General features: G+C 34.0%; 1 protein-coding gene across 5 annotated transcripts in view; it reads right to left on the reverse strand.

Moving 5' to 3' along the window:
• Window positions 1-4547: 4547 nt before the first annotated feature.
• CWC22 (CWC22 spliceosome associated protein) overlaps window positions 4548-26016 on the reverse strand; it is a 62422-nt gene continuing 40953 nt past the window's right edge. For 4 of the 5 annotated variants that reach the window (NM_020943.3, NM_001376032.1, NM_001376029.1 and 1 more), the window contains 9 exons: window positions 25550-25654; window positions 24219-24300; window positions 18694-18754; window positions 14629-14706; window positions 13877-14029; window positions 12143-12270; window positions 10497-10598; window positions 10184-10404; window positions 4548-5387 (listed from right to left, as the gene is read on the reverse strand). In NM_020943.3, coding sequence (NP_065994.1) covers window positions 4801-5387; window positions 10184-10404; window positions 10497-10598; window positions 12143-12270; window positions 13877-14029; window positions 14629-14706; window positions 18694-18754; window positions 24219-24300; window positions 25550-25654 — 1517 coding nt within the window. In that variant the 3' untranslated portion in view covers window positions 4548-4800. The remainder of the gene's footprint in view (window positions 5388-10183; window positions 10405-10496; window positions 10599-12142; window positions 12271-13876; window positions 14030-14628; window positions 14707-18693; window positions 18755-24218; window positions 24301-25549; window positions 25655-26016) is intronic. The other variant, NM_001376033.1, reaches the window with a different exon arrangement.

The following is a 26016-nucleotide window of genomic DNA, read 5'->3' on the forward strand; positions in this document are numbered from 1 at the left end:
GTTTCAAGAAAGATGAAGGACCTTATCTTCCCACTCTATGAGGAGCAGAAACCAAAAAATGACCTTCTATGTCTAACAGTGCCATTCCAAAATTAAGTAATAGTTTTTGAGGGTCTAGAGTGGAGTCACAAATTAGCTACTGTAAAGTTAGTTTGCCTGTAGATCATTTTGTTTGGACAGCTTAATTCTGGCCTATTTAATAGTCAACATTTAAAAATCAGAAGCTCCATAAAAATTCGGATTATTTAATTCTTTCAAATACCAGGGAGATGGTCAACCTTGTCTTCATTTTAACAGGCAGAATTGGATGAAGCTGAGTAAATGGTGCTGCCTTTAAATGACTCCAGTTCACTACCCAATTTGTCTCATTTGTGATTTTCACCTGGCCCCTGTAGGTATTAGAGTTTGCAATTCCTGGTCTAATGGTATTATGTCAGCTTTAATGAAAATGGTTAAGAATAAAACCAGTAACAGCAATAATAGCACACTGAGCACTTAGTTGCAGGCACTAAGTATGCCACAGAGATCACCCACCATTTGAGGGAGGTGCTATAATTGTACCATTGTACAGGTAAAAAACTAAGAGGTTCAAAGACCTGCCTAAATGTCAACAGCCAGAAAGGGGTAATGGTAAGATTAAAAATCCAGTCAGACTTAATTTGCAGTTGCCAAATAGTATTCAAATTAAATGGTACTAAGTTACCCTATATGAAATCTGAGTCTTTTCCTAAAAGCAGATACCTCCATTTCAGCCACAGGAACTTGTGCTCTTTTCCGCAGTAAATACACGGACATGCACACCTCTGTGTGACTTTGGGTTGTTATCTCATTGCCTCTTACCTGTGCCTAAGATGATCTGAGATGAACTCAATAGCTTAGTTTCTTGCCATAAATCATGAACTTTGGGTGGCGGGAGGGGAAGGTGGGAGTGGTAGAGACTTGTCTTCATTTTTATGTCTAGTAAACATAAAATGCATAGATGCAATTAACCAACTTCAAGAAACTGAAGTTCTAATTGGAGATATGCAACAGACTCAGAGGTTTTTAATGAGGTTTAGTAATATGTGGGTGAGTATAAATGGAAGTTGTAGAGCATATTCAAGGTTGAGGGGACACAAGACATCACAATGAGAGCCAGGAACACCATTTGGAGATGTTTCAATGAGTGTTTCAAAGTGTGTAATGTGAAAATGTCCATGTTAAGGGAACAGGTTTCCAAGATGTCACATTGGGCACTCTGAGCTCTCTCCTAAAGTATCAGTGGGTGTTAAAGTTTGCTTGGCTGAATAAATATTCCGTGGAATATACACAGAACAGAATGAAAGAACTTGAAAGATCAGACAGAAAAGACATTTGACTATATTGGAAGAAGTGAGAATTGGATTGGAAAACAAAGGCATCAGGATTCTAAAAAAATCTATGGGGAAGACTTTAATCTGCTAATCTATGAATTTTTTGGGGGGGGGGATTACACGTCAGTTAAGTCAAAATCAAAATGGTGTAAACAAAGCAAGTCAAGAATAAAAACCTCACTCATAACTATCTGGGATAGCCAAAACCTTTGTTTCTGATAATACATTTGAGAAATGTGAAGTAGTGGTATAAGACACAGGAAGTAGGTTGCTTGAGCTAACAGGATACGTACATCTGGGAAACAGGTACTATGATAGAAGTGATGGATAATTACTCTGTCACACCTTAACTCCAAAACAATCAATTCATTTTGCTGTGCTACTTTAACACGATTCTGGTTTTTTTCAACTATAAATGGCATTACAGATGGAATGAAGCAATCAATGAACCAGTTGATGAGCCTGAATTTTCTTCCACATCTTTGCTGTATGCTATGAAAAAGAACTCTGCTAAATGCCCACTGTGTTACATGGTATTCTAGGGCCTTTGACTTCATTATTTCATATAATAATCACTACAACTGTGTAAGGTAGACAAAAGTATTTTAAAGGTGAATCAGAAGGTCAGAAAAGTGAAATAATTTGCCTAAGTTCACACAGCTGCTAGGAGACAGAGCTGATTCTCAAATCCTTCTCTCTGGCTTTTATTCATCCTCCAGTTGTGCTTTGGAATGAAGATGATCTGAGTTAAATACTGCTACTTATCAACTTTGTGGCCTGAGCCTAATTAGTCTCTTTGGACTCCAGTCTCCTCTTCTGTGATGTAGGAAGACAATACCAATTCTCATGGGGTTGTTTTGAAAGAATTAAATTCGTTATTTGTTCATTTATCTATTCGAATGATAGATCACGGAATGAGGGAAGTAAAGAAGTGCTGGGGTGGGGATTGGTAACTGATTGTAACAAAGTCAATGGATCAGAAGGTTTGCTGAGGTGAAGGATTTCTAGAATAGTGGTACTAAAGCAGGTGAACTGGTTGGGAAGTGGCCAAAGTATGATGCTTCAAGGAGGGATTTCAGAGGTGGTATGATTTGAAAGCCAACCTAACGGGGATGACAATGGGAGTAGGTAGCTAGGGATGTAGAATTAGAACTTTGGAAGCAAGGAAATTGAGAACCTGAAAAGGAATGAGCATGCAAAGTATCTAGAATTCAGTTGATCCTTAAAAAATACTAACTCTGAAATAGTGTAAAAATATAGAAATAGCAAACATAGGCAACATGTTTCTTGTTTACACATTAAAAGAGTGAAGGTGAAAAATCTGCCTGAGCGGCAGACAGTACATGTGAATACATCATAGTTGATGCTGCAGAAATGCATTTTCAAAGCAGAACAGAATAGTTCCTCAATCCAGCTTCTAGTCTCTGCTTCTGATATAACTCACTTATACTCAAAATACTTCTGCTAGAGGTAGTTAGGTATTAATTGCTTGTATAAGAGTATAGAACATAGTGAGGAGCACACACACAAGACAAAACACAAGTTAAGTAGAATAGGAAATGTTAACAAAAATTTCCAGGCAATATTTGCTGTCAAAAAACATCTGTATTACAGCTGTTCCTTCTGCCTACAAGGTTCTTCCCAAGCAATCCACATGTCTCAAGCCCTCACTCTGTTCAGATATCTGGGCAAGCATCACCTCATCAAAGAACTGCTCTGTCTATACACCCTGTCCCCCAATCACTCAGTCTCGCCTTTCTCTGCTTTACTTTTCTTCATAGCACTTACCACTACTGGATATATCATATATTTATTTATTTACTGTCTTTGTTTACCATTTCCCTCCCCTGAACTATAAGTCTCAACGAGTAGAGACTCTGTTCACTGTTTTATCTCTAGTACCTAAAACAAACCTGAGCAAACAGTAGAAGATTAATACATATTAATAACATTTTAAAAATAATCTAATAACTCTAAGGTCTTAAGCACTTAATAAAATGAATGGGTTCCCATTTTTACATGTAAAAGTCATGAACTAAGGTTAAAGTGTAGAAAATAAACTAAAATTTCTAGTCTACTGTTTTTTCCTTTTTACCAACCCTGAAGATGAGGGTTCAGGTAAAAAAAAAAAAAAAAACTATTTCCCTTAGGGCTCATGGCCTACATGTTTGTTAAATCCAATTTGCTCAGCTTGTAAGTTCTGTGGAATGCACTGTCCATGATGGTCCCTTCCAATGACACCAAATTTTAACCACCACAAAGGGAGAAAACACTAAAAGGAATTTATCCAAGCTGTCTCATTCGAATGAATGCTTTTTGTGAGTTGGTGGGGAGAAGGAGCGGATATTTCTTTACATGAATTTTATTGTTATTTATACTCAAGTTAAACAACAAAAATAGGAAACATTTTGAATCAGCATATGCCCAAAAACTAAACATTAAAATGGTGGTCCCACTATTCCTGAAACCAAACATTGGCTAAAATGAACTATATGCACCTTTAAGGTGAGCAAACACAAGAAGCCTATATTTAGCAAGGAAGTTAAAATGTTTGTCAGCAAGTCTAATATCTTAGAGGAAATATTTATTTCAAAAGTAATAACTAATGTGGTCATATTAATTAATCAGTTAACAGTTACAATGATGGAAACCCTTAAAATTCATATAAAAAACTGAAATTACATTTAGGCTGCTTGCATATTTCACAACTATATGTTTTCCAATGATCTATTAACCTAAACTAAAAATTAAATACACATTAATTCATCAACAGTGATATAACTTCAAGGCTGAGAAAAATGCACTAATCACAAAGAATTTCAATTAAATGATATCAAGGAGTCCAGAGAGAAGAAATATTTCCTGTGGGAGAAGTTCTAATTATAAATAACTGCGTATTGGTTTAAAGAGTAACATACACCTAGCTTTACCAACACTTGTGAAAAAAATTACACATTACATACTTTGTTCAAAGCCTAATATGAAAATTGTAACAAATCCTCTACTGAAAAAAAAAAAAGTGACTACCTGAAAAAGATTCATAACATCTCATTAACAAAGCAAAACTGTTAAACTGAAAAGGTTCACCTGTTTTGGTCTTCAGTTACAAACAAAAAAGCACTGATAATTCACTATAACAGCTTCTTAAACAACTAAAAAAATATTTTGTCAATTGAAAAAACATCACTGAATCAATGAGCTTTTGATCATTTTATTCACAAAATATAAGCGAGACTTACATCCCTTTCTGGTGAAAGTTTTCAAATAATTTTATGGGTAGGGCCTTGAGATGTATCAATTATAAAACATGTTAAAATGAAAACATTTTTTAAATTTACAAATACAAACCAATACTTTATACAAGAATTCTCTATAAAGTTCGTCAAAGTAAAAAATAATTTGTTTCAACTGAATATAAGGCATGTCCAGTTTATGTCATTTTGTAGAATTATTTTTGTTTTGCTGGAGACTTTTCTCTTCGCCGGTCCTGATTTTTCTTTGATTCTCTGGATTGTTCAGAGTATCTGCTAGATTTTTCCCATCGTCTCTCGGCACCATTTTGATATCTATCTTCATCACTTCTTGAGCCTGAGTGCTTTCTATTCATTTCCTTTGACTTTGATCTATCTTTTCTTCTGAAATTTTCACTGTCTTTAATTCGGTGTGTATGCTTCTCATTTTCAGAAAAAGAATTTCTTCTCTCTCCTCTCTTCTTTTTGGGATCACCATGCTTATTTTCCAAATCTATATGCATTTCTTGGTCTCTGTCATTCGCAACTCTACTGTAGTTATTTCGTTCAGAAGGAACATCTTTGTCTGATGTGTACTTTGTTATAGGATCTCTCCAATTTGAACCACTTGAATTTTGATCTCTGTGTTTTTCTGACCTTCTTTCTCTCTCAGTCCTTGTTTCCTGGTGCCCGTGTTCTTGTCTTCTTTCTTTTTGTTTCCTATCATTTGTTTGCTGGTTTCTGATCAATTTATCTACCTCTTTACTTCTGGTCTTCCCATGTCCCTTCTTTCTTACATCATTAGCTGCGTGTGTAAAATAAAAGACAGTTAGCTTTTATTTCAATCTTAATTTCATAATTATAACAATCACATTTACTGATACAGTGTAGGTTTACTAACTCAGATAAACTAGGTGCAAAGCCAAATTGATTGAATAGAAAGTCTGATGACACAGAGTCTTACCAAATGCTTAATTTTATTTTATTTTTTGAGACAGTTTTGCTCTTGTTGCCCAGGCTGGAGTGCAGTGGCGCAATCTCGGCTCACTGCAACCTCCGCCTCCTGGGTTCAAGTGATTCTCCTGCCTCAGCCTCCCGAATAGATGAGATTACAGGCGTCTGCCACCATGTCTGGCTAATTTTCGTATTTTTAGTAGAGACAGGGTTTCTCCCTGTTGGTCAGGCTGGTCTCGAACTCCTGACCTCAGGTGATCTGCCTGCCTCGGCCTTTTAAGAATATACAATATTTCAGGCCAGGTACAGTGGCTCATGCCTATAATCCCAGCACTTTGGGAAGCAGAGGGGGTGGGGGACAGATTGCTTGCGCCCAGAAGTTGGAGACCAGCCTGGGTAACGTAGCGAAACCCCTTCTCTACAAAAAATTCAAAAAATTAGCCAGCTGTGGTGGCGTCAGCCTGTAGTCACAGCTACTCAGGAGCCTGAGGTGGGAGGATCAATTGAGCCTGGGAGGCAGAGGTTGCAGTACGCCAAGAATGCACCGCTACACCCCAGCCTGGGTAACAAAGTGGGACTCTGTCCAAAAAAAAAAAAAAAGGGGGGGGGGGAAGGGGAGGGGAGGGAGGAAGGGGAATATATAATATCTCAACATTAGTTACCAAAGTACTGTTTTGATCTCGAGATTTAAGACAGTAAACAGAAATTTTATAGCAAATGTAAAAATTTTAGAAAGCGACTCAAATGGTACATTTCTACTTAACAAATTGAATCCAAAAGCTGAAATTCCAGCCCATAGAGTGTTATTCATAGGACTATTAAGTCAGATCAAAATACAATGATCACCCAAACTAGCATTCACTTCCTAAACATAGGAGGAGTAGAACAACTGGGTTTGCTTAACAGCATGAACATATATTTCTCAATGAAAGGTCTCTTCCTGCAAAAACAATAGTTCTCCCCTCTGTTACTATCAGAGAGGCACTAACTGCACCAACAAGAGCAGATATGTTAAGATTTACACTCATGGGCTTTATTAGAGCCACAAAGGCTTAGTTTCTGTAGAAACTCTTCTGAAAAGACCTCAAACAATTTGATTTTGCTGATGTAATCACAACTATAAATACAAAATGGTTATACTGAAATAACCACTTTAAGCAATAAAACAAACTTAATCAGTTTATCTGTTATTTAATTTGGGTGCACAAATCAAAGATGCTAAGATAACAAAAATTTCTCTCAAATTCATACATAGGCAAGAAAGAGAAAATATGATAGAAAAGTGCCTCTTGTCACCCTAATTCTACCTAAATCTCACTGTACCAGCCTCTATTTCTTCCGCTAAATGCATATCTTTGGCACATGGTACAGTCAGTTGGTTTGCCACTAAGGACCTATTTCTCTGGTTCCTATCAAACAGCTCAGCTGAGCTGCAGCTACCCAAGCAGAAACCATCTGGCTCTGTGCTAAACCAGCGTCCCCTTGATCCTACTGTACACCACTGTCGGGCTTTACTGATATTAAAACCCAGCCATGTAACAAGAGGCAATCTCTTCTCCGTTTGCTATGTTTGCATTATAATTTCCTAATTTTGGGGCAGTTCATGCTGCTTTTATGCTATTTAGTATTTTATTAATAAAACAAAGTTCTCTACTGAAATTATATGAGAAGGCAAATTAATTTTGAATCAGCAAGCTTCCTTATTGCAGCAATTCATGCTGTGTTATCATCTGTTCTCAAAATGGATACCATGAAATAACAAATTCTGTAGAATATAAAAATGGTGAATGTTAAATGAACAATGTTTGTACACTTCAATTCATGAATAAAAGTTCCTGTAAGCAAACAATCTTTCTCTGATAATTAAAAAAACAGCCCCACAATTCTGGATGTCACACAGTATGTAAAACACTTTGAAACATAACAAGCTATGGAACAAAGGTGTAAAGATTGGCCTTTCAATTTAAGGCTACAGAGGAAAGTATTGATGCCATATTTGATGAAATATTGCATCCAAACAAAACAAAATGAGAAATGACATGCATGTAGGATAAGCAGACAATCCCTTATTTGGACCAAGATACTGTAATGAAAGAAAGCAGAGCTGACCTTGGGTAAAACAACACAGATCTTTTCAGAAACTGTGAACCAGATCAAACTTTGAAAACATCTTTTACTATAGCATTTCCACTTCCAGGTAGGATAGAGAAGACTGTGGCAAACCTGTGCTCCTGCTGAAAATAACTAGAAATGCCAGATACAATTTTAAAATGTTGCATTGAAAAATGTTGAAAAGCACACAGAAATCAAGTTGAAGGAACTCCTAATTGCCAAAGCTAAGATGATTTGAGCAAAATAAATGACAGTATTGGACTTTAACCCACAGGATAAGATAAATAACCGTGAGTCTATATTGATATTTACAGTTGACTAAATAAATAAATGAGGGAAGAGGGACAATACTTTCTTATAGAAGAAATTCAATTACTAGATGTAGAAGAAAACAGACAAATAAAAAATCACCATTAGGTGATTTTTTAACCATCCAAAGATGGATGTTAAAATTAGTGAGTAAAAGCTGGAGGAAAAAGAGATTTGCATAGTATCAAGTTACCTCCCTACAAGACATTTTCACAGAGAAAAATAGTTTCCCTGAAGACATCCAGTGGACACCACCTTACTCAAGTGATCAAGGTTGTCACCCAAAATAAAATTATGAACCTCTTGATAAGATGCACTAAGAACAACACATTGTTTCTAATGTACTCTTGCCAAAAATGTCTAATCTCATTCTAATAAGGAGAAAACATCAGACGAAACTCCATACTGAGGGACAGGTTACAAAATAAGTGACCAGAGGACTTCAAAAGTGTTAAAGCTATTAAGAACAAGGAAAGCCCGAGAGGAACTATCATAGAATGCAGAAAACTGAGAATACAATTAAATGCTAGCAGAATCCTGAAATAAGAAAAACGACATTAGTGGTAAAACTGGTTTTCAAATCACATCTGTAGTCTAGTCAATAATGCTGTTCCAATGCTAATTTCCTAGTTTGATAAATGAACCAGTGTTATGTAAGATGCTACCATTAGGGGAAGTTGGAATGAAGAGTATATGGAAATTCTCTGTACTGTTTTTGCAACTTTCCTAAATCTAAAATTAGCTCAGAATAAAAGGTTACAGTTACAAAGTAAAAAATATAAAGGCATCAGAGAGCTAGTGGAAAAACAAGTACTAGAGGGGCCAAGATGCAGGAGAAAGCAGAAACATTGAGAAGTAAGTGATGTTCTACAGCTACTTTCTCCCTGGGAGCATCTGCTGATTCAGGGATGCTACTGAGGGACAGAGACACCAGAGGTCTGGTAGCCTTGCAGGGCTAGAGAGACAAGAATGGGACTGGTTATTTGCAATACATATATGTACAAAAGATATCATATCTAGAATATGTAAAGAAAACCTACAAATCAACAGAGAAAACAACTTAACTAAAAAAAATTGGTAAAATACTTGAACAGCCACTTGACAACAAAAATCCAAATGGCCAATAATGGATAAAATGGCATTTAACTTCTCTAGTTGAAATGCAAATTAAAACTAAAACCGCCATGCAGTACCATTACACATCCACCAGAATGGCTGAAATGAAAAAGACGGTCAATTTGAAGTATTAATGAGAATGGGAGCTAATGAAACTCTTATACATGGCCGGTGGGAGTGTAAATAGGAATAACCACTTGGAAAACTGACAGTATTCACCAAAGCTAAATATATGCACATCTTATGACACACTGACTCCACCTATAGGTACATACCCAGTAGAAATGTGAATAAATAAATAAGGTCATCAAAAGATATGTACAAGAATATACATGGAAATATCACTTGAAAATCTAAAGTCTGTTGAGCAAAAATGATAAATATATATTGTGGTATATTCATATAGTAGGAAACTACATAGCAATATTACTGAATTAACTATAACTAAATGCAGTAATGCATCTAAATCTCACAAACATAATGGTAAAAAAATAAGCCAGACATAAAAAGGAGTCCATAATACATAATGCTAAAGGTAAAAACAGGCACAATTAATTTATGAAATTACAAATCAGAATAGTAGCTGCCATGAGGATGGAAGGAGTAGTAACTGGGAGAGGAAACACAGAGAACTTCTGGGGTACCGGTATATCTTGATTTGTGTGCTAGCTATGAGGATGTGTTCCCTTTATAAAAATTCATATAGCATCTGAGATCCACAATGAATGTATGATATATCTCAATTACAAACAGCTTTAATATTAAAAGTAAAAAACTAAAATTTATTTAAAATAAAAACATCAGGATAGCTCCTATAAACTAGATTACAAACATTATGAATGGATGGTTCATATCAGTCATCACTCAGATAAGTATCTGCGAATGAAATATTTTCATTTCTATGATGAGGATGTCAAAAGGTAATCCCAGCATTATAAATGTTGTATTACAGACTGCAAGAATGATAGATGGGACCATTTGTATTAATTGTGGCTTTTAAACAACTGATCTCTAAGACAAATAAACAATCAAATTATTTTCTTCCTTCATATATATCAGCAACATATTTATTAGAAAAGAGCAAGCCAAATTACACATAAGCTTCAATACCTGAGGCAGAGCTATGACTACTGATGGATGAAGAGTCGCTCTCTTCACTGGAAGACTCTGAACTGCTATCACTGCTGTCAGAATCAGAGTCGGATGAGTCAGACTCTGAAGAGGAGGACGCTGAAGAGGAAGAGGATGGGGAGGATTTATTTTGCTCAACATCTGGTTTCTGCGCCACAATGACCTTTGGTGTATTTTTGAGATGCTCCCGCAGTTCATCCCTAATTTAAAATATAATCTGTTAGATTCTATTTCAAAGACAATTATGAGATAATTTTATAATCTGAACATAAATTCTGAGAATAATCCTTACGTTAAACCTCCAAGACCTATAGAAGTAAAGAAGTTGATGGCAAACCGAGTGTTTCTTGGATTATCTCGGGGTAATAATCCTTCAAAGAATGGCTGCAGAGTTCTAAAAAGGAAAAAAATAAACAAAAGAGAACACATTGCTTAAAGATAAAAAGGTAAAATCCTTAGTCATTTTTCAGATTTTTCATATATTAAATTACTAAATGAAATACAACCAAGTAACTAGTTGATGTCATTTATTAGGTTAGGCTACGTGCTATCTAAATGAAATGAGTAGGGTCAAGTAATAATGTACCAAACTTGATTTCTATCATTATACAATGTAGGAGGTTTTTAAAAAACTTTTTTTACACACACACATATAGAAAGATAAATATATACACATATATACACGTGTGAATATATATAGTGTATATATATACACACACGTATATATAGTGAATATATGTACAAAAAATTTTAAAAACCTTCTCTGTTGTGTATGTACACGTACACACACATACATAGAACTGTGCCAAGTACTGGGGGAGAGGTGGAAGTCATCAACAAAAGGGAGAAATCAAGGATGAAGACCATATAATTACAATATATATGGAGTGAGACAACCAGAAAGACACTAACAATACAAGGTGGTTTTGGACATTTGGTTTTCAGCACCACACTGAGTAACTACTCAGTGGAGTCAGAAAAAACTTTCTCACAGAAAAAGGTACAATATAAGAAGAATGATTAAGAGTTTCCCAGATAGATCAATAAGACAGGAGAATGCCAGCAGTGGAAACTGAGGTAAGGAAGCATGAAAGAGCCAGATATGTTTAACAAGCTTGGCAGTGTTGGTATGGCTGGAGTGCAGCTTGCTGAAGAGAGAGAAGACGAGCCTGGTCAAGTAGACAGGGACCAAATAAGTAAGTATATGAAGCCAAGAGAAGTGGATGGAATAGTCCAGAGACAGTGTGTGGAACCCAGGAACACTGAAGAGGCAGGCTGAGGAGAAGACTGAGAGAGGAAGTGAGAAGAAAGTATGGAGCCACAGTGAGTAGGTAGTCAACTGCATAAGTGAGGCAGAGAAGTGAAGAGGCATGCAGCCTGAGAAAGACAACTGAATATGGCAGGTGGTCACTGAGAAATCTGAAAGGATGATTTCAGTAGTGTCAATGGAGTAGAAGTCAACCTAAGTGGCAATCTGAACAAACAGGAAATAAGAAAGGTGAGAGGGGATTACATAATAATCCTGAAATAAGGCTCTAGTTCTATGTAATATTTTGAACAATTATTAATAGATGAAATATATACTCAAAACTGTCCACTGATAATATTAGTTATCATTCTAAGGCTTAAAATTAGGGTAAAAAGAAAATAAAATTATAAATATCACTGGAGAATTCAAGTGAGCATACAAAAACAATTCTGTATTTTCTAAGAAAATCTAAAAAGGCATTAATTTGAACTCCACTTAAACTAAAAACCACCACTAAAAGTTGCATGTTGTCCTGTGTGACATAACATGAAATTCACAGTGATTAATGGATGAAGAAAGTCTCAGGGGGCTTAGCTCTTGTTTTTACAGTCTCGGATGGGCTTATGTCTGCTACAATGGGAGAAAACCAGAGGTCAATAAGAATAAAAAGTGCTTAATGGCAAACTTACTCATCCTTTAATCTTGCATTAAGTTTAGGAAGACCCATGTATTCACACAGTTCCTGGAAAAATATTTTGACAAAAATTCTACTGGATGATGTAGTGGTTTCTTCACTCAGTTTTATACATTCAAGAACCTGAAAATTAAAATAAAAAAAGACAAGTATATTTTAATTTATAAAAGACAGGACATAGTGACCAATATTTGTAGGTTTAAGTGTTTCTCAAAATTACTATTTATTCCCATCTTCAACCAGAGTTATCTCTGAATATCTCCCCTTATGCTGACATAAAGTTTAAAACTACTTCTCTATACTAACTTTCAAAATGTTAAGATGCGACAGAAATAGATTTCATTCTCTGTTTTGAGTAATGTGCTTTTTATAGCAGGGAAGATATCCTCTCTTGAGCATATAATGGTAAAGATTACTAGCTCCTAAACCTTACTCATCAAAATGTGGTGTATATGAAGGTTTGGGGCAAAATGCCACTTAGCACATTAGGCTACAATTTTGTTTAGCACACATAACATACGATTTAAAAAAAGACAGAAAGTATAATGGTTTATTCTGAATATTAAGACTGTGGCTTAAAAACTGAAATGCCTAAAGAAATATTTTTAGGGAAAATAAAAATAAAAGTAACCTCTAGTTTTTATGGGTTATGTGTTTGGGGGGCCCATTAGTTGGTTAATTGTTTAAAATTCTCACTTCATTTTCTCAAAGAGGGGAAAAAAGAAGTCAAAAATTATTACAATTAGTCTCCTAGGTTAGATTACGAATGCCTATTAATGTAGCTGGACATACTTGGTACTTAAAGTACTATAAAAATCTAACCAATGTTTTTAAGTTTGAGATATTGCCTCATTCTACCATTAGTAGGATGGCATTCTACAAGATAATCCTGTTCTTTCCTCCTGGATGTAATTTCTCATCCTTCTCTCTTTCTTTCTTTCAAATTCCTTTAGTAATTTTGCTTTTCTTAGAATCTAAGACTTTTTATTTTGTATCATTGCTATGGGCATATCTTACCTCTGGTCTTATACTGTAACCCTCTTGAAAGGAGGGGCCATGTATAATTCACTCTGAATACACAGCACCTCTCTCAATGACTCAGTATATAAGTGGTGGCTAACTAACACTGGTTGAAAAACAGCTGTAAAATCAATGCCAGCTTAATGAACGCCTTTCAAATTTCAATCCAGTGCACATTTCCCTATCAAGAATATATCTTTCTTTGTTCTATGACTATAGGATATCCTCTCTATAGCTTACCCAACTTCAATGTCTGCTAAAAAGAACACATCCTTCTAGAACAATCATTTTTTCTCAAACCCAACAAGAGAACCATGGAGAGTTATTCCCTCAGGAATCAAGGGAGAGTAATTCAGAGACACATTTACCACCAAAATAGTGGCATATGTGGATGTGAGTGTGCATGCACGTGTGTGTACACAGAGAAGATGAAAATCTGCAGTACTTTTCCTGAAGACACTCCTAGCCATCACTATCGAAACACTGGCATGTTTGGACTGTTAATATAATACAAAGATAGTATTTCTTGTATATTATTTACCTAGCTTTCTGATTCCTTATAACATGATGATAATCTCAAAGACAGCAGTTCTACACATTTCATTTTAAAGCACATTTCATAATAGGATAAATATGGCTAGCTTATACGAAAATCTATTTGAGAACAGGGAATTAGGAAGGAAGTATAAATATTGACCCATGTACTTACACTCCATGGAAGTGAATCAGTGTATAAAAGGTGAGCAAACATCTTAGCAACATTTCGCAACTTGTTTGTTTCCAAGCGATGGATGGTATCATACTGTTCTTTGAATATACCTTCAAAGGATTCCATGTACTCTTTCTTTAGCATGCAAAATCGCTAATAAATAAAAAATCAGTACCATTAAAAATTGAATGTTAATACAATTATGAGCATATTAAATCCTAAATTTACTGAATCAAAACTTTATTAATATGCTTTATATTTTCAAAGAGCATATATCACTAAATCCTTTTGTGCCATATGATGCTCAAAAAAGAAGTTAATATATATGGTTTCTAATTACCTGAGATTTACATGTTAAAACAAAATCATACATGTAGGTGATCACATGAGGGTAGAGCTTAAAGAAATATTTTAGATCATGCTTTAATTGTGCTGCCTGAACATGTACTTGACTTTAGACACTGCTTTGAGATTTTGAAAAGACAGCATTTACTTGTCGTCTATTGGGAAATCATTACAAATCATGGAAAATTCCAAAAAGCTCTGGAAAAGTGATATGCAAAGTTAAAGCACTGCAAAAATGAAGTAGAAAAAGAGGAAGGTGAAGAGAGTGGGAAACCTGAGGAAGGAGAGAATAATTTGCTTTTAGCAAAAGTGGTAATATGTTTTTAAATGAGACCAGACCATAAAGCAGAAATCATTAATTTACAATATTCGTTTTAAGAATTCCCTCAGTAGAGGCTGGAACTCACCCCAGCTAATAAGCCAAAAAATTTTTCGTATGTCCTCTGTTGGGCACAGCAATCAAGTATCATGTTGCAGAGTTCTTTCTATTTGGGAAAAAAAATACATTAATGATTCAAAACACAAAGAGACTAAATATTGTATAATTTACCAGTATGATAGTGACTGCCTGCATTTTTAAATAAGGGTTTAAAACAGTTCAAAAATTTTGTAAATAAAATAAAAACCTCAATCTATGTTAAACTCATCATTTTTTACAGGCTTGGGTCTGGCTGACAGCTTCCACAGTCATTTATGCTAATTACATTAATTATAAAATTCTAAATTCATGATAAGTATGAACCACATCAAGAAAATCTAGTATAGGAAACAGACATATGAGGGAGAGATTTAATACACTGCATTCTTAAAGGATTCTATGCAGAATTCTTTTAAATATAGACTCACCAACACAACATCTAACAATTCAGTTACATATGTCCCAAGGATATGAATTCAATTGCTAAGGAATATATTTAGCATGGAAAAGGCAGATCATTATTAGTCTTTACAGAGGCATAAGTAGGTACAACTTCAACGTTAACATAAAGTTAACGTTGATAAAGAAACATCAAAAAACACCTCTGTGGATGAATTTTCTCACCTCAAAATAAATGTTATTCATATAGACCTATCTATATGGATCTATACAAATAAATGGAATCATTCCATAACTGCTAGTATATTATTCCAATTAGCTATTCAGGCGCCATGTAAACCTCTCTGAAAATTCTGTTAAACTAATGGATAAATGCCCAGTCAAGAAATACTATCATCACAGATGATTTCTACTTAACAAATTAGTTTCTTAATTAATATATTAATTCCTGAAATAATTCAAATGAAATATGTATTGATTATAGCAATGTCATAGATGAAAAAACTCAAGCAACATAAGGTGAATAGAGACAAAATGAAAAAAGGTGTTAATTCATCTACGATCAGTGTAATCTTTTCTATAAAGATTTACCAGAAACTTAAAACAATTTTCCAAATAGAGTAACTGTAATATACTTGCTTTGTGCAAACAGAAAGCAAGCATATAAAAACGTGTTGCTTTTTAATTTTTACCTTTATATTTTCAATGAACAATTTTGACATTTTGTCATATTTACTAACACAGGATATAACCTAACTAAAAATAGTAAATATTTTAAAAAATTATATAATTAAGTATTTACTGCATATGTTAACAGTATTGTCAGAGACTCCAGAGGAGGACTTAGAGCAAGAGGTAGGAAGGGAACCTTGGAGAAGCACAGAACAGATACTCTAGAATTATGCTGTTCAACATGGTAGCCGCTAGCCATTATGGCTAGTGGCTATTTAAATTTAAATTATGTTAAATTATACATAAAATTAAAATTTTAGTTCTTCAGCCACATTACTAGTCATATTTCAAGTACTCAAAAGCCACATGTGACTAGCGACTACTGTACTAGAAAGTGCAGAATATAAATACTTCCATCAGTACAGGAAGTTGTATTGGACAGCACCGCTTTAGATACTGATACTCAAGGAACAATCTACTCAAAGCTCAAAGGCCTCACTTTACAACATAGGGCTGGCTACTTTCAGATGCCATTATATTGTGCTATATATATATATAAATATATATAAAAATAAAGATAAGTCTCAAGTTATCTCAAGTTATCTCCACTAAATGTTTATAAATGTGTAAGTTCTGAAAAGGTGTACTTTATCAAAATTTCATAAAGTACTAAAAACTAAAAAAATAAGGCTTTTCTAAATTCTACCAAATTATGTTAACTTCATATACGAAAATTCACTTTCAACTTTTTTTTTTTACCAACATTACATTTTATAATATAACAGTTAATCAGGTTTTAAACAACAAAACATGGTAATATGCTGATAGCACTGCTATGCACTACTTGCAAAACAAATTACCTTCTTCCCTAGACTAAACGCAATTATAAGAGTTATTCCCTCTAGCTTATAAGAATTAAATATTTTAACATTTTAATTATTACAGCAATTTTAGGAGTCTTTTGAGTACATGAAAATAAATGTACTAAGATACTTTTCCAAATATTATCAAAATATACTGAGGTTATTTCTGGAATAACTATCTTCTCAATGAATATTAATACAATTTATGATGGCTTAATTATCTTCCTCAAATAACATGACAAGATCATACAGTAATTTCAGTGACAATTATAATTTTAAGGGTTTTAATGTATTAATTTCCTTCCAATGATGGCATATCAAGCGTGGCCAGTGTACAAACAAGCACACTATTACTAATATACCAATAACAAAACTTTGAAAGGGAAAAAAAGGAATCTTTTACATTTAAAAAGATAATTTTTTGTCAAAATTCCATATCACTATATTTCAAGAATTAATCTATATTCTAGAACAAAGACTGGCAAATCTTTTCTGTAAAGGGCCAGATAATAAATATTTTAGGCTTTAGAGTCCATATGATCTCTGTCAAAACTACTTATTCTGCGGCTGTGGTGTGAAAACAGCCCATTGACAATATATCAATGAATGAGTCTTGCTATATTCCAATAACACTTTATTCATAAAAACAGGCAGCAGGCCTCCACCGCAGGCTGCCAACCTCTGTAACACATAAACATTTTTAAAGGCTTTGGACAAAGAATTTATATCTAACAGTAACTTAGCTCCGATAATCAAGAAGACCTAGAAGAACTAGAAACTGAACAGCCCATCAGAGCTGATACATTCACTCTGGCATCTGTGCCCGGTTTACCACATTTAAAGCAACGTGAGAAAAATACAATCACCAAAGCTATGGCTCAGTTTTTTCTAAGGATGTAATATCTAGATGGGAAGGAAGCAATATATATAATATACATTAGAAAAAAAAAAACAGAAGAAAGAGCAACTTTATCTACTTAATCTGATCTTTATTATCCTTGGCATTAGGGTTCTCATACTTTGAAAAGTGAAGTATATCAAGCTGTAAGACAGTGAGTCCCATGGAGCCAAGATGGAGCTATCTTGTGGTGTGCCTGACATATAGTATCTGCTGAATACATTTTCATTAAAGGAATTAATGAATGAAGACTGGGAGTGGTGGCTCACGCCTGTAATCCCACTGCCTTGGGAGGCCGAGGCAGGCAGATCACCTGAGGTCAGGAGTTTGAGACTAGCCTGGTCAACATGGTGAAACACCATCGCTATTAAAAACACAAAAACTAGCCAGGTGTGGTAGAGGGTGCCTGTAATCCCAGCTACTAGGGAGGTTGAGGCAGGAGAATTGCTTGAACCTGGGAGGCAGAGGTTGCAGTGAGCCGAGATCATGCCACTGCACTCTAGCCTGGGCGACATAGTGAGACTCTGGCTCAAAAAAAAAAAAAAAAAAAAGAATGAAGAAAATTATATAAATTTTTCTATATCCAACTAGAGCAATGTAATATGTGCTGTGATCTTTATCTTTTCTACTGCAAAGAATGCGTTAGTCACAAGCTCGCCCAACCTGTGGCCAACAGGCTGCATGCAGTCCAGGACAGCTTTGAATGAGGCCCAACACAAATTCATAAACTTTCTTAAAACATTATGTTTTTTTTTTTGCAAATTTTTGTTTTTTTAGCTCATCAGCTATTTTTAGTGTATTTTATGTGTGGCCCAAGACAATTTTTCTTCCAATGTAGCCCAGAGAAACCAAAAGATTGGATACCCCTGCAGTGCATCCAGAAGATGGACCACATAATCCATTAAAGAACAAATTTCCTACTATATTCAAGTCAAAATTTGATTTATAGGCAACAACTCAGAAATTCTACATAAAGTGCAGTGTTTCAGAGACTCTCTTTTTACCATATCTCATTTGAGCAGAAAATTTAATTCACTGGAGTGAGCAATATATCTGAAACACCCTAAGCTTTGTGTTAACTTAAAATGATATAAAACCTACATTAAAAAATAAATATTTAGTACTGAGGTATTGCTTCAATCCACAAAACTTACCCATTAACAGCCTTAAACATTTTTAAAACCAATATATACATTTCCTAATAGAAAAAGTATTAACATACTGTTTGGCTTTCAGGAAACTCCATTTTCAGCAATTTGTGAGCACATTCTTCAAAATCTAAACTGTGGAAATGATCACAATAGGTTAAAAGCTTGCAACATAGACTGTACACTCTTATACACAAGAATCTTACTTTAATAATGGTTTTAAATCATCTTTTTTAACTGTAATTTCATATTGTTGTACTGTGTATATAAGGAAAATATAGCTCTTAACTCTAGAGATAAGTGCCAATACATACAACATGGATGAATCCTTGAATTATGCTAAGTGAAAGAATCCTGACACAAAAGACTACATATAGTATGATTCCATTTATACAAATATTCAGAAGTGACAAATCTATGGACACAGAAAGTAGATTAAATGAGTAGAAAGTGACTGCTAATAGGCTCAGGGTTTAGTTTAGAGTAATAGAAATGTTCCGGAATTAGACAATGATGATGGTTGTACAACTTTGTAAATATAATAAAACCACCTGCAGTCATGCATCGCTTAATGACACGGTTATCTAATGAGAAATGCATTCTTAGGAAATTTTTTCATGTGAGAACATCACAGAGTGTATTTACAAAAACCTAGATGGTACAATCTAATATACCTAGGCTACATGCTATGGCTGTTGCCCCTATGCTACAAACCTGTTCAGCATGTTACTGTACTTCTGAATACTGTAGGCAACTGTTAACACAATGGTAAGTATTTATGTATCTAAACACACTAAACATAGAAAAGGTTTAGTAAAAATATGGTATTATAATCTTATGGGACCACCATTGCCTATGTGGTCTATTGTTGACTGAAAAACCATTATATGGCGCATGACTGTAAATGTACACTTTAAAAGGGTGAGTATCATAGCATGTGAATAACATCTCAATCTTAAAAAGGCAAAAATAAAAATAAGAGGTATATGCATTGAATTGTATTACTTTCTCAAACCAACCAACTTCAAGCCATAACTAATCAGATAAAAGGGTTTCTATTCTATGTGATTTTCTTCATTTTAAGAAACAAAACACATGATGTGTAAGTTTCTCTCATTTCTGCAATCAGATAATGCTTATCGAATGTTTTCCCACTACAAACTGGTCACTCAAATATGACGGTAGTAAATTCTTAAGTGTTAGCAATATCTTTTCCTTCAAGCATTGGAGGATAATAACTGTATATAATGAATTTATTAAATGTTCTGACTTGATAATCCCATATTACAGCACAAATCTAAGTACTCTAAATCTGGGTAATCAGGTCCAGATCTCAAAGAGTGCTTCCCAATGCTCAAGGTTTTAAAGAGACATAGCTGTTCTGTTCTACAATTAGTTGTTAAATAAATCTAAGAAAGAAAAAAATCAATAACTCTATTCAAAAGCTTAGATAAAACAACAGGTAGAATGGTTAACAATGAGGACAAAGAAATAAAAGCTTTTAAAAGTTAATACTTTAAAAAAATAATTACAACTACCTAACATTTTTAAGAAATACATTCTTATTCACAAATGTACACGTAAATTAGAAACAACTGGAGGTAAAAACACCTAAAGGATACTATACTGATTTAGGTTTATACACAGGATTTCAGAAGGATTTAGAGACAATCTAATATGACTCTCATTTTTATAGATGAGAAAAATGAGACTTAGGTATTAGTATTTGAAATTTGCTCCTGGCCACATCGTCCCAGAAGTAGAACTTGAACACAGGAATATTTACACTTTCTCACCCAATATTGCATAAGAAAAGGCTATAATTAATACTTAATTTGAAAAGTCATTTCTTGAAATGTATATCACGTGCTTAGAGAAGCCAGGAAAAGTCCTAATTGAGACAGCAGCAACCACAGGTCAAGTTTCTCTGCTTACATTAAAATCTCAGTGTGGAAGAGTAAATGATATATTATTCTATCATAACTCTATCTACTTTTACTAGACATTGCCGATTTCTTATATTTTTCTATACTGCTTCCAAGAGGTGAAAGGCGTACCAGGAGTTCAGCATAACATTAGTGCTTAATCACTACTTTTACAAGTTAGCTTGGTTCATCCTAAACACAGGGCATCTACATTTTATAAATACCGCATATAAAAATAGTAAATATAAAATAACTTGCAAGAAAAAAATATGCTTTTACCCAGTATTCATATGCACAGAATTTAAAATATCATCAGTATAGTTCACCTAAGAGAATTAGCAAACTCAATTTGTTAATTGTTTATTGATTCAGAAATAATGCTACTATATTTGCATTTCTGTGGAATGACCACACCCTTACTTTTGATAATACAGCATAAAATCATCACTAAGTAATGATTATGGACTTAGTTTTGCAGTTCATCTATATTCCTCAGCTTCTATTACTTAGAGGGTTTCCTAAGCACAACAGGGTAATAATCCAGGATGGTACAAGGCAATGAAATAAAAAAGAAACCTATCAGGAAAGAGATTATATAACAGATAATATTAAACAGTATCTAACATTAAGATTAAAATACTAAACGGTAATTGATACATTTTAATAATACAGCAAAACCAAAAACATTTAAAACAGATGTGACTTTTTCTTTTCCAGCTCTTTTAAAAAACGAAATTAGTACTGAGACAAAATCCTGAAATTTCTGAAAAACAGTCGAGTAGTTGATGAAGAAATGTTACTACTTTTCTTTTATCTACTAAGTGAAGTATCAGGGAGAAAGCTATATGACAGTCTGTTTTTCCTGTTCTTATTTTATTTTGAAAGTATTTAATGACCCCCCCTACACCAAGACAGTTTTTAGGTTGTACTAATTATAAATATTAAATGAATTAAATTTTCTTGATATTTTAGTTCTCATCTTAGGTTGCTAAACCAAATGAGTTTCAGGTTTAACACAAATTAATAGCAATTGAGGAGAGGGTAAAGAAAAAAGAAGACATTTACTGAATTACTGTCTTCTTTACATGATGCCAGATTCCAAGTTGTGTTTACAAATGGTTTTGTTGATGTGTCCAATATCAGAAACTCTAAACAGGTGGGGACATGGCAGTCCATCTCCCACTGATGTTACAACTTCAATAAAATAAAATCAGACTGGAATATCGTTTAAAAGCAAGAACAAAGAGGAATGTTTTATTTTTAATAGCAAAGGCAATTGTGTAGTTTAATGTTTTATGCATATAAAAAAGGGTATTTAAGGAGCCATAACAGAAGGAAGATAAGACTACTGGTGAGATTAGTCAACAAAAACAAATTTAAAAAATAAAATTTCCACACAGTTCAGTTGCCAGAACTTCGTTTTTGTTCACAAGATTTTCAAAAGTGGACTGTTTAAGATGCCCTCATAGCCACCTGGCTTGATTATTACATCCTATTCCTGATTTTTAGCCTGGCATATAATAAACATAAACCTCCCCTTAAGATAATCACTGTTGATATGTTAACATATTACTTCTAGAATCTGCCTATTTTTACAGTTAAGAAAATACTACAAGCACAATTCTATATAGTTATATAGTTTTTATCTGACTTAATATTACATCACACTGTTTGCTCACATTTAAAACAATTCTCTATTAACCTAATTTTCAGTGGTGGCATAGACTGGATATTTTGATTATTTGTGGTAGAAAATAAGATTGTCTCCATTTTTTTTTTGCACTAAACAATTCTGTATATAATTATGTGTCCATATTTATATCTTTAGGAAATACAGTAATAAAAACAAGGGTCAAATAGCATGAACAAAAAGCCCTTGATTCACATTACGTAGCAGGGTGGCTATAGCAAATAACAATGTTGCCAGATTTTGAATGTTGTTACCATAAAGAAATGATGAATGTTTAAAGAGATAGATATGGTAATTACCCTGATTTGATTATACAATGTATAATCACCCTTAGGGTATAAATATGTACAATTATTATGTGTCAATTATAAATAAAAATTAACTAATTAAAATTAATAATGTTTAAAAAAAATAACAAAAAATCCCCACAGAAAATCAACATCTAAGACAGGAGTTACTGCTACTAGGACTGACACCACTATGTAGTAGTGGCTATTACTTGTTTTTTAATGCTTTAATTTTTCAAGTCCTTTGTGTGATTCAGAGATTATCAAGGTTACGTTTCTTTTAAATAATTATTCAAAGAGCTCCACTGTAACTCTTCAAAGTTAATGTAACTGCAATACTAACACAGTAAATCTGCTGCTCACAACTGATGACTGTTGGATTTCTAAAAGGACAAACAAATGAAAGGTCAAACCCAAAGAATATTCACCTCTGAGAAAATATTTCTCACTTTTCACTTTAAGTTTATATGAAAAAATATTTAATACTTTTTTTTTTTTTTTTTTTTTTTTTGAGACGGAGTCTCGCTCTGTCGCCCAGGCTGGAGTGCAGTGGCGCCATCTCGGCTCACTGCAAGCTCCGCCTCCCAGGTTCACGCCATTCTCCTGCCTCAGCCTCCCGAGTAGCTGGGACTACAGGCGCCCGCTACCACGCCCGGCTAATTTTTTGTATTTTTAGTAGAGACGGGGTTTCACCGTGTTAGCCAGGATGGTCTCGATCTCCTGACCTCGTGATCCGCCCGCCTCGGCCTCCCAAAGTGCTGGGATTACAGGCGTGAGCCACCGCGCCCGGCCATATTTAATACTTTTTATGTGAAGAGAAAATAAGTAAGGATAAAGCAAAAAAATTCCCAACCAATGTTTTGCTGTTTAACGTTCCTCTATTTGAAGATAAACCTAAAGCCAAAAAATGTTCAGACTGAAAACAGATGACTCCTACTTATGAATCATTACTGCTATTACATCATCCTAAATGGAAATATACTAAACCTAGTAATGAAAGAAAACTGAGAAAACATTTCTCCTCCAGTGTAAAATGTAAACAGTGTGCCTATTAAATCAATAGGTTGATTCACATACAAACTACCAGATGCACTAAGATTTAACATCCTCATTTATTTCTCTTCAAAACCAAATTCACATCCTTCAAAGGGAATAGGTTTTGTTTTCATGACATCACATCACACTACTTCTTACTTAGCATTACTTCAAAGAGTCCTCAAAATCTTCCTAAGTCTAATTCCTATTTCTGTTTATACTCATTGACATCTGCAGAGCAAATCACTGTCCAACAGTCATCACAACAGTGCTTCTTTGCCTAGAATCAGAACTAGAAACCAAATTTTAAAAATGTTAAATATTACATTTTCATTATAAAATTAGGTACTCTGCTATCTTGTAAAACAGAATTATTTTCAAGTTTTTATTAGTGGCACTTAACTATAAGAAATGATATAGCTAAAAAACCATTTAATTAGGTAACACAATTAGACCTTCCCATTAAGTAAAAACAATTTGCCTATAAAGCAAAGAACCAACAGAAAGGTACTATGAGCTTGGGCATGGGATGGGGGAGAGAGTCTAAGAATGCTGAAATGGTGTCCAGTTTTCTGTTATGAGACCCTAAAATGTATCCCTGATCTCTTTACCCATCCCTTATCAAAAACAAAAAAAGGATGAACTGAGATATGATGCCTTACCTTGACTGAATAGCAAGATAAATTGTACGACGAAATGAGACCAGGTTAATTTCTGTTTTGTCATGAATAGTTACTTTTTGTCCTGAAAGAAACATAACAAAATTACACAACTGCAAAAATAAATGTGATGAAGTTAAAATGTAACTCTGTATAGCATTTTCTTCAAAAATCTATTTAGAATCAATACAAATTTAATAATATTATCTTTTTACTGTGTAAATTAGTATTTATAGAATTGAAAGTAACTATTTCAAGTCTTTTGCTATATGACAATGTTAGCTCAAAGAAGTCCAGTACCAAGCCAAGAAAACTATTTTTGTTTATCTGTTATCTGCTCATTTAGACACTATAAAAGGCTGCACTCATGCTGTTGTTTGGTAAAATATTATTTCTAGAGTTATAAACAATATCTTGGTAATTTAGACGCACTGTATAACTCATGCGTAAAAATTCAGTTGCAGAGAACACTAGATCATCACGACAGGCTGGATGAGTCCAACATAAATACATATATTTGTTAAAATTTTCTCTTATTTAATGCATGAAAACTTTCCTTATAAACATTTAATAGTTTTTATCTGAACAGTAAAATGTAGTACATGGATAGAAGATAATTTTAATAAAAAAAGTTGGAAAAAATTAAATCTATTTTTACAAAATATGTTATAGAAGAAGAATTGTACTATAAGACAGAGTATTTATTATGCCCTAAAAGGCAAATGTATACTTTTAATATCTTCACACATGCAATACATGTAAATAATGACCAGTTTATTTATGTTCTGATGTATTTATTAACTGTGCCTTAACCAAAGTAAAGTTCCGAGCTTATTTCTGTGAAATAAGGTAATCAAAGCTGAAGAGGAAGAACATACTACTTCTGTGTAAATATAGCTTTTGGCATCTTCACTCTATTTTGCCAAAATGAACAGCAAATATGCAGTCACTCTCATTTGTCACATTCCTGCCAGGGCTACATAAATCACATGAACTCAATAAGAAAACATGTTTTTCATTGTCTAGAATATAATCAAAGGCATAATATACTAAATTAAAATTGTGCTGATGTTAAAAAATGAATTTGTTTAATACTTTTTGAGCAGTTTCTCAGTCTTGGCAATACTGGCATTTTGGGCTAGATCATATCTTGTTGTAGGGGGCAGTCTTGTGGTTTGTAGGCTGTTTAACAGCAGCCCTAGTCTTCACCTCCTAGACGCCATCAGCAGCTGTCCTTGCTCTCCCCAAAGATTGAGAACTATTGTTTTAGAAGATTACATTAGAATTAATTTTAGAGTATCTTATAATATTATTTGAATATGCTACATGTTTACCTTCTTCATCTTCTTCTCCCTCTTCCTCTTCTTCTTCCTCGTCCTCTTCACTACTCCCAGCATCCTGGTCTGTGTTCGAGTCAGTATCTCCCTCATCAAGAATTTCTGTAAAGTACAAAGTAAGTTTAGGAAAAAAATGTGCAAGTCATATACATGTATTTCATTCTAAGAAGATAAATTCTCAGTTCGTTGAAATCCACTGTGGTGTAACAGTTTGCTAGCCAACAAAGATAACCACCAAGCCTCGTGTTATTGCCTAGGTTGTCAAAAAGCATTATAACTGATTTGACTAAAGAGAGCTGTATGTATCACTCTTCTGCCACATAAAAAGTGTCCATGAAACAAGGAGATGAAAAAAACAAAGAAAAAGTAGACGATGGTTTTTGAAAAGAGCAAGAGCACTGGCAAATATTAGGAATAGAAGTTAGTATATGGGAGTCAAAATATTGTTTCATCATCAGAAAGAA

The sequence above is a fragment of the Homo sapiens genome, chromosome 2 (genome assembly GCF_000001405.40).
Source record: "Homo sapiens chromosome 2, GRCh38.p14 Primary Assembly".
Taxonomy (NCBI): Eukaryota; Metazoa; Chordata; class Mammalia; order Primates; family Hominidae; genus Homo; species Homo sapiens.